The following is a 14,091-nucleotide window of genomic DNA, read 5'->3' on the forward strand; positions in this document are numbered from 1 at the left end:
CAAGTGATCCTCCTGCCCCAGCCTCCTGAGTAGCTAGGACTATAGGCATGCACAATCATGTCTGGCTAATTTTTTTTTTTAAGTGAAAGCAAATTTATTAGAGAAGTAAATAAACGAGCAGGGCATGGTGGCTCATGCCTGTAATCCCAGCACTTTGGGAGGCTGAGACAGGTGGATCACCTAAGGTCAGGAGTTCAAAACCAGCCTGGCCATCATGGTGAAACCCCATCTCTACTAAAAAATAGAAAAATAGAAAAATTAGCTGGGAGTGGTGGTGGGTGCCTATAATCCCAGCTACTTGGGAGGCTGAGGAAGGAGAATTGCTTGAACCCAGGAGGTGGAGGTTGCAGTGAGTTGAGATCGTACCACTGCACTCCAGCCTGGGTGACAGAGTGAGACTCCATCTCAAGAAAAAAACAAAGTAAATAAACAAAAGAATGGCTACTCCATAAGCAAAGGAGCCTAATTTTTTTTTTTAATCTATTTTTTTTTTTTTGTAGAGACAGGGTCTCTCTATGTTTCCCAGGCTGGTCTCAAATAATCCTCCTGCCTCAGCCTCCCGAAGAGCTGGGATTACAGGTGTGAGCCACAGTGCCCAGCCAAGAAATATTGTTTATTGAAGGTTTGCTATGCTCTCACTTTGTGTGAAGTGCCAAGGTTAGAGCAGAGAACCGACAGAAGTGGTTCCTGACCTCATGGAGCTGACAGTCCAGCAGAGGAGAGACAGGTTTGACAAACAATGATTCAGCTCCACTTTCGATGAGTTCTCTGAGAGAGTGGTGGAGGGTGAAGGGAGTGTGTTATAGTAAGACAACACCGAAAGAGGGGAAGGGAGGAGGGATCAGAGGGGGCGTCTTGGAGGAAGTGACACTTGACGGATTACGATTTGGTGTCCCCTGTGCCTCCACCTTCAGGGAGCAATGCCCTGGTTCTGGTGACATGGGCACTCAGGGTCCCCATGGCAGTTCCTTCTCATTGAGTGTCACCTCCGTCATTTGGCTTCAAGAACTGGAATATGCAAATGGCAGTCAGTTATGTGTGATCAAATGACACTGGCTACATGCTCAAGAACGAATTTAGCATCTACCACCAGCGTTCCCACAGTACTCCCAAATAACTTCTGTATCCTCCCCACCTCCAGACACACATGTATACACACACACAACCTCACACACATTCTCAAACCAGCCTGTCAGTCTACCTCACTCTCCTCTTCAGTTTCAGCTTCCACTGGTCTAGGTCCCTGGCCCATGAAGCCAGCTGATGGAGCCTCATGGTGGCCAAAGTTGAAGGGACTCAATGTGGGGACACCGAAGTGTGTGCCCAGGCCATCTCTCCAGCCTTCTAAAACCACCTGCCTTGGGGAGAGGAAGTGGGGAGAATGTCATCTGCTCTGTTTGTACTCCAGAGCAGCTCTGCTTGTGCCCCCACAAAGTCTCTCATCCAAGTTTTCTGTCAACTTTCTGTTCACAGAGTTTCACTTCCAGTTCAAGGGCTAGATGGGGAGTTGACATATGACCTTGGGCAAATTACTTACCTTCCTTGTGTTGCAATTTTCTCATCTGTAAATGAGGATAACAAAAGTACCTACTTCAGTTTAAGTGAAAAAAATTCATGTAAGTGTTTAACATAGTGACTAGCACATATTAGGTGCCCAGTAAATGTTAGCTCTTATTATTACTTTCATCATTATGATTATTTACTGGAGAATTTGGCTACATTAAATGTCTGAGCTCCAGCTCAGCTAGCCAAAGTCTACAGTTCAAAGTCTACTGTTATAACTGTAATCCCAGCACTTTGGGAGGCTGAGGCAGGTGGATCACTTGAGGTCAGGAGTTCAAGACCAGCCTGGCCAACATGGTGAAACCCTGTCTCTACTAAAAATACAAAAATTAGCCAAGTGTGATGGTGCACACCTGTAATCCCAGCTATAAGGGAGGCTGAGGCATGAGAATAGCTGGAACCCAGGAGGCAGAGGTTGCAGTGAGCCAAGATTGTGCCACCACTCTACTCCAGCCTGGGTGACACAGCAAGAGTCTGTCTCAAAAAACAAAACAAAACAAACAAACAAACAAACAAAAAAACAAAGTCTACTGTTAAATAAATTGGCATTCCAGTTTCATCCAATCGGGTTTATGAGCTTAGCTAATGTGTGTCTGCCCCTAAGAGCTAAAGCTGCCCTGGGGCCTCCCAGTCTCTTCCTTAGCCAGGCAGTGTGGTTCTGAGTACCAGAAAGCTCCTGAGGAAAACCCTCTGCCAAAATGGAACACCAAGGGAAAAGGATAAAAGCAACAATTTTGGACCAGGCTGGCATGAACTGTGATCCCAGTCTGCCATACTTATTTTTTTATTCTAAAATAACAGAGATAACATACACAATGGGCTTTCTAACTTGCCACTTTTCCCTTATCTTTTTTCCCTTTGTGAACCTAAAACATCATGTTCTTTCATGCAGTCTTTCAAAAAGAAGGAAAGAAAAAAAAAAGAAAACAACAACAACAAAAAAAATCCTTGGACATTCCAGTTCTCTGCTGGCCCAGAGAAGAACAGACTATCTGATATTTCAGCTGGAAGGCAGGGTGGCAGATTCTTTCCAATGGGGTGGCGACTTCCTCCTTACTTTCAGAACACACCCCTTCCCAAAAATACGCCCTCTTGGGCAAGTAGCACAAAGGGAGCAGACCCGGCTCTGGGCGTCAGCAAATGCCCACATCCCTTCCTTTTCCTTTTATACCCAGTGGCCTGGGAATGGCACAAGAGCTTGGGGAATTTGCCCCACCAGTCTGTGTGTGGCGTGGTCAGGCCCGGGAGTGGCCTCTCTCTCATCTCTTACCCTCTTGATCCATCTTCCAAAACAACTGCTAGAAGTAATTTTCCTGAAACCCAAATCGGATCATTATTTCATTCCACCTGCTTATGCTTGTTAACTTGTCATGGCCTTTTGTGCCCCCCAAAAGGGTTCTCAATCTCTAGCCTGGGGTCTATGCATGGTTAGCTACAAAAGAATGATCTTATTCAGATGCAGATTCTAGGCGGTGGCTCACGCCTGTAATCCCAGCACTTTGGGAGGCTGAGGAGGGCAGATCACTTGAGGTCAGGAGTTTGAGACCCGCCTGGCCAGCATGGTGAAACCCCATCCCTCCTAAAAATACAAAAAAAAAAAAAAAAAAAAAAAAAAATTAGCCGGGAATGGTGGTGCATGCCTGTAATCCCAGCACTCGGAAGGCTGAGGCAGGAGGATCCCTTGAACCCAGGAGGTGGAGGTTACAGTGAGCCGAGATCATGCCACTGCACTCCAGCCTGGGGGACAGAGCGAGACGCCATCTTAAAAGAAAAAAAAGTGTAGATTTTAGAGTTTGAGATAGAACCTGTGGATATGTAGGTATTAGTCTGGATTCTTTAAGTTGCAAGTGACTGAAACTTCAAATTAGCTTTGGTCAAAAAAGAAATTCAGACTGGTGTGGTGGCTGATCCTTGTAATCTTAGGACTTTGGGAGGCCCCTGCAGGAGGATCCCTTGAGCCCAGGAATTCGAGACCAGCCTGGGCAACATAACAAGACCCCATCTCTACAAACAAACAAACAAACCCACTATTTCCTTTGAATAGGAAATTCAAGTCTCAATTATATCTGCAGGATTTTTTTTTTTTTTGAGATGGAGTCTCGCTGTGTCGCCCAAGCTGGAGTGTAGTGGTGCGATCTCGGCTCACCGCAAGCTCCGCCTCCCGGGTTCATGCCATTCTCCTGCCTCAGCCTCCCAAGTAGCTGGGACTACAGGCGCCTGCCATCACGCCCAGCTAATTTTTTTTTTTTTTTGTATTTTTAGTAGAGACAGGGTTTCACCGTGTTAGCCAGGATGGTCTCTCTCGATTTGCTGACCTCGTGATCCGCCCGCCTTGGCCTCTCAAAATGCTGGGATTACAAGCATGAGCCACCGCGCCCGGCCTACCTGCAGGATTTTTTAACTTATGGAGGTGACTGCATGATGACATGGAGAAGTCCATGCCATTGAAATAATAATTAATTTATTATTATTTATTAATTTATTTATTTATTTTGAGATGGAGTCTCACTCTGTCACCAAGGCTGGAGTGCAGTGGCCAGATCTTGGCTCGCTGCAACCTCCGCCTCCCGGGTTCAAGCGATTCTTCTGCCTCAGCCTCCTGAGTAGCTGGGACTACAAGCACGCATCACCACACCCAGCTAATTTTTGAAACCCCATCTCTACGGGGTTTCACCATATTGGCCAGGCTGGTCTTGAACTCCTGGCCTCGTGATCCACCCACTTATGCCTCCCAAAGTGCTGGGATTACAGGCGTGAGCCACCACGCCCAGCCGAAAGAATTGTTTATTACTTACATTTCCCCAGAGAAGTGGGCATGGCACGCCTCACATGCAGACCCAAATGGAGAAACACCAGGTTTGGTCAGGAGGCAGAAAGGAGTGAGGGGAAGGCATAGGCCACAGCCTTTATTGGGGTTTCAGCAGAAAAATCAAAGCATGGTTGGGTAAACTGTTTAGATCAGTTGGATACATTAAATATGAATAGGAAAAAAAAAAAAAAAAAGCAGACCAGGCACGGTGGCTCACGCCTGTAACCCCAGCACTTTGGGAGGCCTAGGCGGGTGGATCACCTGAAGTCAGGAGTTCCAGACCAGCCTGGCCAACATGGTGAAACCCCATGTCCACTAAAAATACAAAAATTAGCTGGGTGTGGTGGCGGGTACCTGTAATCCCAGGTACTCAGGAAGCTGAGGCAGGAGAATCTCTTGAACCCAGGAGGTGGAGGTTGCAATAAGCCGAGATTGTGCCACTGCACTCCAGCCTGGGTGACAGAAAAAAAAAAGAAAGAAAGAAAAAAGGAAAAAAAAAAGCAGTTTAGGATTGGCTAGTTTGAATAATTCCAGCAGGTAGCTGGGTGTGGTGGTGTATATCTGTTGTCCTACAGGAGGATCTGAGACAGGAGGATTGCTGCGCCTAGGAGTTTGAGTTTATAGTGAGCAATGATTATACCACTGCACTCCAGCTTGGGCAAAAGAGCAAGACCCTGTCTCTAAATAAATATATAAATACATACATATGTTTTAAAAAGTATATCATTCAGCCATAAAAAGGAATTAAGATACATGATACATGCTATTATACAACTTGGATGAATCTTAGAAACATGCTAAGTGAAGGAAGCCAGACACAAAAGGCTACATATTTTATGATTCCATATATCATACAATACACGTATGTCTGAAATGTCCAGAATAGGCAAATCCATAGAGAGAGAAGCAGATTAGCCAGGGGCTGGGGGAAGTGGAGAATGGGGAGTCACTGCCTAATGTCTATGGAGTTTCCTTTTGGGGCAATGAAAATGTTCTAGAGCTAGACAGTGGTAATGGCTGCACAACAGTGTAGGAATGTGCTAAATGCCACTGAATTGCACACTTTAAAATAATTTAAAGGGCGATTTTTTTTTGAGGCAGAGTTTTGCTCTTCTTGCCCAGGCTAGAGTGCAATGGTGAGGTCTCAGCTCAATGCAACCTCTGCCTCCCAGGTTCAAGCGATTCTCCTGTCTCAGCCTCCTGAATAGCTGGGACTATAGGCGTGCGCCACCACACCTGGCTAATTTTTTGTATTTTTAGTTGAGATTGGGTTTCACCATATTTGCCAGGCTGGTCTCGAACTCCTGACCTCAGGTGATCCACCTGTCTTGGCCTCCCAAAGTGCTGGGATTACAGGCGTGAGCCACTATGCCTGGCCTTTTTTTTTTTTTAGAGAGAGATAAGATCTCACTATGTTGCCTCGGCTGGTCTTGAATTCCTGAGCCCAAGTGTTCCTCTCACCTCAGCCTCCCAAAGTGCTGGGTTTACAGGTGTGAGCCACCGCACCTGGCTGAAAGGGTGAATTTTATGTTATGCTAATTTTACCACAACAAAAGCATCTTAATCATAACACTTATTGCCCTTTATTGTAATTTTTCGGTTTTCATCTCTGCCTCCTCTACTCAACATGAGTAGGTTCTGTCTCCAGTTCTTGAATTCTGCCCCAACACAATAGTGTGCTCATTAAAACACTGGCAGAAGGAAGATGAACCTGTTGATGGCAAGCAATGGCTACAGGCTGAGTGTTGATTATCTGCTTTATATTACGTATTGGTTTTCTACACTTGATCTTAGCCAAAAGGCTGAGAAGACATATGTATTGGTTTTCTATTGCTGTGTAACTAATGACCACAAATCTAGAGGCTGAACACAACACATAGATTGTCTCACAGCCCTGTGTGTCAGGAGCCTGGGCATGGCCTTGCTGGGTCTTCCACTCAGGGTCTCACAAAGCTTCAATCAAGGCGGCTGCATTCTAACCTCGAGGCTCCACTATGAATTAATTAACTTCCAGGCTCATTCAGGCTGTTGGGAGGATTCATTTTCTTTTTCCCTTTTTCTTTTTTTTTGAGATGGAGTTTCACTCTTGTCGCCCAGGTTAGAGTGCAATGGCACGATCTCGGCTCACTGCAACCTCCGCCTCCCGGGTTCAAGTGATTCTCCTACCTTAGCCTCCTGAGTAGCTGAGATTACAGGCACGTGCCACCACGCCTGGCTAATTTTTTGTATTTTTAGTACAGACAGGGTTTCTCCATGTTGGTCAGGCTGGTCTCGAACTCCCGACCTCAGGTGATTCGCCCGCCTCGGCCTCCCAAAGTGCTGGGATTACAGGCGTGAGCCACGGTGCCTGGCCTCATTTTTTTATGGTTGTGTGACTGAGGTCTCTGTTTTCTTGCTGGCTGCAGGTGGGCTGTTCTTAGCTACCAGAGACTGCCCACAGTTCCTTGCCATGGGACCCTCTCCATGGGCCCCCTCTCATAGCATGGCAGCTTACTTCTTTCAAGCCAGCAATGGAGTGACAGTCTCTCTAGCATGTATGCTAGCAGGATGGACCCTTACGTATATGATCATAACTTTAAACATCTTTATCACATTCTATTGGTTACAAGCAAGTCAAAGGTCCTACTCACACCCATGCAGGGTGTGAATGTAGCTAATTGTAGAGGAGGCCACCCTAGAACTCCTCCTCTACAATTAGCTATGATTTATTGAGAATCTGCTGTGTACCAGACACTATACTCAGCACTTTTCATTAATTATTTCATTTCATCCTCAAACAACCTTAAGAGATAAATACTAGATAATACTAAACAACCTTAAGAGTTAAACAACTAGAGTTGTTTTACAGATTTGGAAATTGAAGCTCAGAGAAACTGGTGTTTGACTTGTTCAAAGTTCCACAACCAATAAGTTTAACTTATTCAAACTTCAAAGTTCCACTTATTCAAACTTCAAAGTTCCACAACCAATAAGTGACAAATTGGGAACTCAAACCCAAGACTATTTGATCTTAAAACCACTCCTGTGCTTTGATTCTCTCCTTTTAAATAGTTTGTCCAGAAAACTTGTTTAAAAATCGTCCCCTTCTTCCTCTTTCTAAAGGGTAACGACAGAAGTAGGAAACACACATTCTTTGCTTTGCTTTTCTTGAAAGCCCTTAGTTGAGAGATTCTTAGTTGAGATTCTTGAATTCATATTTTCAAGCATAGTCAGAATGGATACTTCCTGCTAAGAAGAAGCCAGCGCTTCTAGGAAATGTTATGTTGCAGAATTAGGGCAGCCTGCCACAGCACGAGACAAAACCTGACCTGGATTTTATCAACACCATTAGAAAATAATTGTAGTGATGCCTCATAGTTATGTAGTAAGTTATAAATTAATTTCTCAGCCGGGCACGGTGGCTCAGGCCTGTAATCCCAGCATTTTAGGAGGCTGAGGTGGGTGGATCACCTGAAGTCAGGAGTTCGAGACCAGCCTGGCCAACATGCTGAAATCCAGTCTCTACTAAAAATACAAAAAAAAATTAACCAGGTGTGGTGGTGCATGCCTGTAGTCCCAGCTACTTGAGAGGCTGAGGCAGGAGAATTGCTTGAACCTGGGAGGCGGAGGTTGCAGTGAGCTGAGATCTGGTCATTGCACTCCAGGATGGGCAACAGAGTGAGACTTTGTCTCAAAAAAAAAAATAAATAAAATAATGTCTCATTTTATTCTCAGTGTTCCTGTGAGTGAGCCAGGCCAGGGATTTTATATATTTAGTGTGGTGGTTGTGGTTATTCTATGGATACAGCCAATTTTGTATTTTGGCTTAAAAAATTTATGTTGGCCAGGCACAGTGGCTCACGCCTGTAATCCCGGCACGTTGGGAGGCTGAGGCGGGTGGATCACCTGAGGTCAGGAGTGCGAGACCAGCCTGGCCAACACGGTGACACCCCATCTCTACTAACAAAATACAAAAAAAAAAAAAATTAGCCAGGTGTGGTGGTGCACACCTTTAATCCCAGCTACTCGGGAGGCTGAGTCAGGAGAATCACTTGAACCTGGGAGGTGGAGGTTACAGTAAGCCGAGATGGCACCACTGTACTCCAGCCTGGGTGACAGAGACTCTGTCTCAAAAAACAAAACAAAACAAAACAAACACAAAAACTAGCCAGGCATGGTGGTGGGTGCCTATAATCCCAGCTACTTGGGAGGCTGAGGAAGGAGAATTGCTTGAACCCGGGAGGCAGAGGTTGCAGTGAGCCAAGATCGCGCCATTGCACTCCAGCCTGGGTGACAGAGCAAGACTCCGTCTCCAAAAAAGAAAAAATTTGTTATCTCATGAGCATTTTTCGATATACTTCTCCTTAGACATGATTTTAAATAGCTGCTTAATATTCCATGTATATTCATAGTATTCTGTGTATATCTTCTCCCTAGACAAGATTGGAAATGACTGCCTAATATTCAATTTAATGGATATATTTTAGCTTACTAAAATATTTTACCTTCTGATTCCATGGTGAGTAGAAAAAAAAAAAAAAGAAAGAAAATGTTTTCCTGATCTTCGTTATTTAGGTTGCTTCTTTTTTATCACTATTACAAAAGTATTGAGGGCTAGGCATGGTGGCCCATGCCTGTAATCCCAGCAATTTGGGAGGCTGAGGCGGGTGGATCACTTGAGGCCAGGAATTCGAGACCAGCCTGGCCAATATGATGAAACCCTGTTTCTACTAAAAATACAACAATTAGCCAGGCATGGTGGCACGTGCCTGTAGTTTCAGTTACTCAGGAGGCTGAGGCATGAGAATCGCTTGAACCCAAGAGGTGGAGGTTGCAATGAGCTAAGATCACACCACTGCACTCCAGCCTGGGTGACAGAGTGAGACTCTGTCTCAAAAAAAAAAAAAAAGAAAAGAAAAATGAAAAAAAAAAAAGTATTGTGATGAACATGTTTGCTAAAAAATGCTCCCACACATACATCTGTACACATGTTTAGGATGGAGTACTAGGAAAGGAATGGTGGACAACAGTCTCAAGGCTCTTGGTGCATATAGAGATATGATTATAAACCTATTTTACAGGTAAGGAAACAGACTCAGAGTGAAATCTGACCAAGTTCACAGGACTCATCAATGCACAACTGAAACTTGGGTCTAAGTCTTACGCTTCCAACTCTGATGTTCTTTCGTTACAACTTGCTGCCTGTGGTGTGGTCCATGGACCAGCAGCCTTGGCAAATCTTGGAAGCTTGTTAGGAATGCATAATCTCGGGCCCTACCCAAGACCTTGAGAATCAGAATCTGCATTTACCATGATCCTGAGATGCCTCTATACATATCAGTGTTTGAGAAGCAAGCACTGCTTACAACATATCCTGCCCTGTGAAGGATGCCTCTGAAGTGCTTTGAAATAAGGCAAAACATCACTGGCTTTGGTGTTACTGGTTAATTCTCAGCTTCAAAACATCTCTAACATTTCCTTGTTAAGGGCTGTATGGATTGTGCCCACTTCAAGAAACGCTTTGCTAATTTCATTGTAAACATCGGAATCTTTAACTTACTTCTATATTATCCCTGGATATGGCCATCACTTCTGCTCAAAATTGTACAAGTAGTATTTCAGAATAATTTTCAATAAGAAAGTATCAGGGTGAGGGATAAAGTGCATTCCACCAGGAGTTCTGGCCTAAGTTCCACCATTAACAAGCTGGTGACCTGGACGAATTATCCTTGATGAATGACCTTTAAGCCACTGAGTTATCCCTTATTGAGTTAGAAACTGTAAGGAGGACAATTTTATAAACCATAAAGCACTGGACGCATCTGTGGGGAGCATGTATTTAGATATCATTTTCCTCAAATGAAGGTGTTTACACCACATGATCCTTGGGGAAGGTATTCACAGGACCAAACCCTTCTAAGGAAAGCTATTTTGGATTGTATTCCACCTGTGCTCTCCAGGAATATAATGACAGAGAGATATGAATCAAATCAGGATATGGGTAGAGTGAAAGCTTGGATTTTCAAAGGGTCTTCAAAGTCCCTTTTAAATCTCAAAACTTATGATCTTATGCCATTCTAACATGAAAAAAAGAATCAGAGAATTCTAACATCGCTAGTCATTCTGCACAGCTCCCTGCTTCCAGGAAAGAGAGCAGCTCTTCTATTCTTTAAAAGTGTTGATTTATAGAAGAATAGATTTTAAATGTTTTCACCACAAAAAAAAAGATTACTATATGAGGTGATGAATTTGTTAAGTAGCAGGATTGAATCATTCCACATTGTGAACATATAGCAAAACATCATATTGTACCCCATAAATATATACAATTGTTATTTGTCAATTAAAAATAAAATAATGAGGCCAGACATGGTGGCTCACACCTATAATCCCAGCACTTTGGGAAGCTGAGGTGGACAGATCACCTGAGGTCAGGAGTTCGAGACCAGCCTGGCCAACATGGTAAAACTGTGTATCTACTAAAAATACAAAAATTAGCTGGGCGTGGTGGTGCACACCTGTAATCCCAGCTACTCTGGAGGCTGAGGTAGGAGAATCGCTTGAACTCAGAGGCAGAGGTTGCAGTGAGCCAAGATCATGCCACTGCACTCCAGCCTGCGTGACAGAGTGAGACTGCACCTTTAAACAAACAAACAAACAAACAAAAAACATATATATATATATATATGTATAAAAGATACTAATTTTCCCTAAGGGGTTACAGAAAGCTTCTTAGAAGAGATGTCCCTTGGGCTGAAGAGGAGATAGCCAGGGGGAAAAGGGAGTGAAGGGTATTTCAAGCAGAGGAAACAGCAAATGCTCAGGGAACAGCAAATGCAAAGATGCCATGGGAACTGAGAACATGACAAAGAGTTAAGCATGGCTCGTGGCAGGTATGTGGAAGACTGGGTAAGATGCAGGAGTGGGTGGCAAGATTCAATGTAGCTCTTGCAGACAGACTGAGCCAAAGCCTCCGTTGCATAACTGTTTCAGAGAGGAGTTAGCATGCAGGTATTGTAGAAAAATACCTGTTTGGAATGATCTTTAGTCTAGAGAAGGTACCATATCAAGAAATCCATTGGCATCATCCTGAACCAGAACTTATATTTCTCCTCTTGCCTGGGTTTACTCTTTTCCCCTCTCTCTTTAGCATAGCTGCTTCATCTTTCTCTGAAAGAAAATGAAGTCTCGGCATTGGCAGCTTTTGATCCAGTGTTCATTTGATCTGGTTGATTCAGGAAACAGATGCATCCTCTTGGTCTCAGCACAAATCACTGGGGTTTCTTTCTTTATTATTATTTTTGTTTGGCGAAAGCCAGATCTATGTCTCAATCAGCATAGAGGAAAAAAGTAATTACTGAAGTATTAGTGTTATTATTATTTCCTGATATGAGCTGCTGCATTCCTTACTTGTATCTGGTTTTCTCCCTAGGCTGAGGTCAAAAAGTTTAAAACAAATCCTTCTTGGATAAAGCCTGTATTAATTATTTTTAACCTTGTTTGCATTGGAGACCTCTTTGAGACGTTAATGAAAAAGATAAACCCTCTCCTCAAAACAAATTCACCTTTTCCTATACCCACAAGATGTAACATGGTTTCAAGAGATTCGCAAACCTCTTAAAGCCCCTGAGGACCCTTAAGGAATCCATAGACCTTGGTTAAGAAGCTCTAAACAGTTAAAAATAACATAGAAGAGGGCCTGGCGCGGTAGCTCATGCCTGCGTGGTGGCTCATGCCTGCTATCCCAGCACTTTGGGAGGCTGGGGCGGGGTGGCGGGGGGCGGTGGATCACCTGAGGTCAGGAGTTCGAGACCAGCCTGGCCAACATGGCAAAACCCTGTCTCTACTAAAAATACAAAAAATTAGCCAGGCCTGGTGGCAGGTGCCTGTAATCCCAGCTACTTGGGAGGCTGAGGCAGGAAAATCACTTGAACCAGGGAGGTGGAGGTTGCAGTGAGCCAAGATTGTGCCATTGCACTCCAGCCTGGGCAACAAGAGCAAAAATTCATCTAAAAAAAGTATATATATATATAAAATATATAGAACTGCTTGTTGAAATTGAACTGTGCCAGGTGCCTGCTAATTCTGGTGGTATGTTTTGGAAAGTCAAAATAAATCTGAATTGTATTGGCCATATAGTTGTTGAAGCCTCTGCTATAGATTAGATTCAGTGGGCAGAGTTCAGTACTGCCAATGCCCCCACCGCCATGAAAACCCAAACATGAGTAAAGGTCCCAGAGAGAGAAGGAAGAGGAGCAGAAAATAACTTGAGACTTTTCATATTCTAAAGTTAAGTCCTTAGCCTTGGCGTCAGAAGACTTTGTTTTATTTTTTAATTAATTAGTTTATTTATTTTGAGATGGAGTCTCACTCAGTTGCCCAGGATGGAGTGCAGTGGCGCAATCTTGGCTCACTGCAACCTACACCTCCCAGGTTCAAGCGATTCTCCTGCCTCAGCCTCCAGAGTAGCTGGGACTACAGGCCAGCGCCACCACGCCCAGCTAATTTTTATATTTTTAGTAGAGATGGGGTTTCACCATATTGGCCACGCTGGTCATGAACTCCCGACCACAGGTGATCCACCCGCCTCAGCCGCCCAAAAAAAACCTTGTTTTAATATTAGCTTTACCAGTTTCTACCTTTGTAAATTTTTTTTTTTTTGAGATGGAGTTTTGCTTTTGTTGCCCAGGCTGGAGTGCAATGGCGCGATCTCAGCTCACTGCAACCTTTGCTTCCCGGGTTCAAGCGATTCTCCTGCCTCAGCCTCCCCAGCAGCTGGGATTACAGGCATGCACCACCACGCCTGGCTAATGTTGTATTTTTAGGAGAGACAGGGTTTCTCTATGTTGGTCATGGACCTCATGTGATCTGCCCACCTCGGCCTCCCAAAGTGCTGAGATTACAGGCATGAGCCACTGAGCCCGGCCTTCTACCTTTATAATTTTGTCAAGTCATTTTAGTTTTCTGAATATCAGCTTTCTCACCTGTAAAATGGGGATGATAATAATAATACCCACCTCTCAGGGCTGTTGTGAGGACTTAATGAAGCAATGCGTGTGAAAGTATTTACTAGACATCTGGCTCACAGATGGTGCTTGACAGATGTTAACTAAAATCCAATTCTTCCCGGGTGGAGGAAGCCCTTTTAGAGATCTTATGTACCAGAATAATTTTGGTGAGGGACTTCTGGTTTCCAGTCTGGCATGTAAGGAGCTTAGAAGTCACCTCTCTGTCCTTAAAATAAGTAAAAACTGAACAAACTTAAAAATCAACAACTCCCTCTCCCTCTCCCTCCCCCTCCCCCTCCCCCTCTCCCCTTTGCACGGTCTCCCTCTGATGCCGAGTGGAGGCTGGACTGTACTGCCGCCATCTCGGCTCACTGCAGCCTCCCTGCCTGATTCTCCTGCCTCAGCCTGCCGAGTGCCTGGGATTGCAGGCGCGCGCCGCCACACCTGACTGGTTTTCGTATTTTTTGGTGGAGACGGGGTTTTGCCGTGTTGGCCGGGCTGGTCTCCAGCTCCTGACCGTGAGTGGTCTGCCAGCCTCGGCCTCCCGAGGTGCCGGGATTGCAGACGGAGTCTCGCTCACTCAGTGCTCAACGTTGCCCAGGCTGGAGTGCAGTGGCGTGATCTCGGATCGCTACAACCTCCGCCTCCCAGCCGCCTGCCTTGGCCTCCCAAAGTGTCGAGATTGCAGCCTCTGCCCGGCCGCCACCCCGTCTGGGAAGTGAGTAGCGTCTC

General features: G+C 44.8%; 1 pseudogene, besides 1 other annotated feature; it reads right to left on the reverse strand.

Annotated features, from left to right (window-relative positions):
* Window positions 671-840: an enhancer, noted in NCBI's record as "active region_4709". NCBI's record gives its function as "activates an Ori minimal core promoter by ATAC-STARR-seq in GM12878 lymphoblastoid cells {active_cell/tissue: GM12878}" and the evidence as "EXISTENCE:reporter gene assay evidence [ECO:0000049][PMID:35858748]".
* Window positions 6,015-6,186, reverse strand: LOC124902844 (uncharacterized; annotated as a pseudogene).
* Window positions 6,187-14,091: the final 7,905 nt, after the last annotated feature.

Source organism: Homo sapiens, chromosome 11, assembly GCF_000001405.40.
Source record: "Homo sapiens chromosome 11, GRCh38.p14 Primary Assembly".
Taxonomy (NCBI): Eukaryota; Metazoa; Chordata; class Mammalia; order Primates; family Hominidae; genus Homo; species Homo sapiens.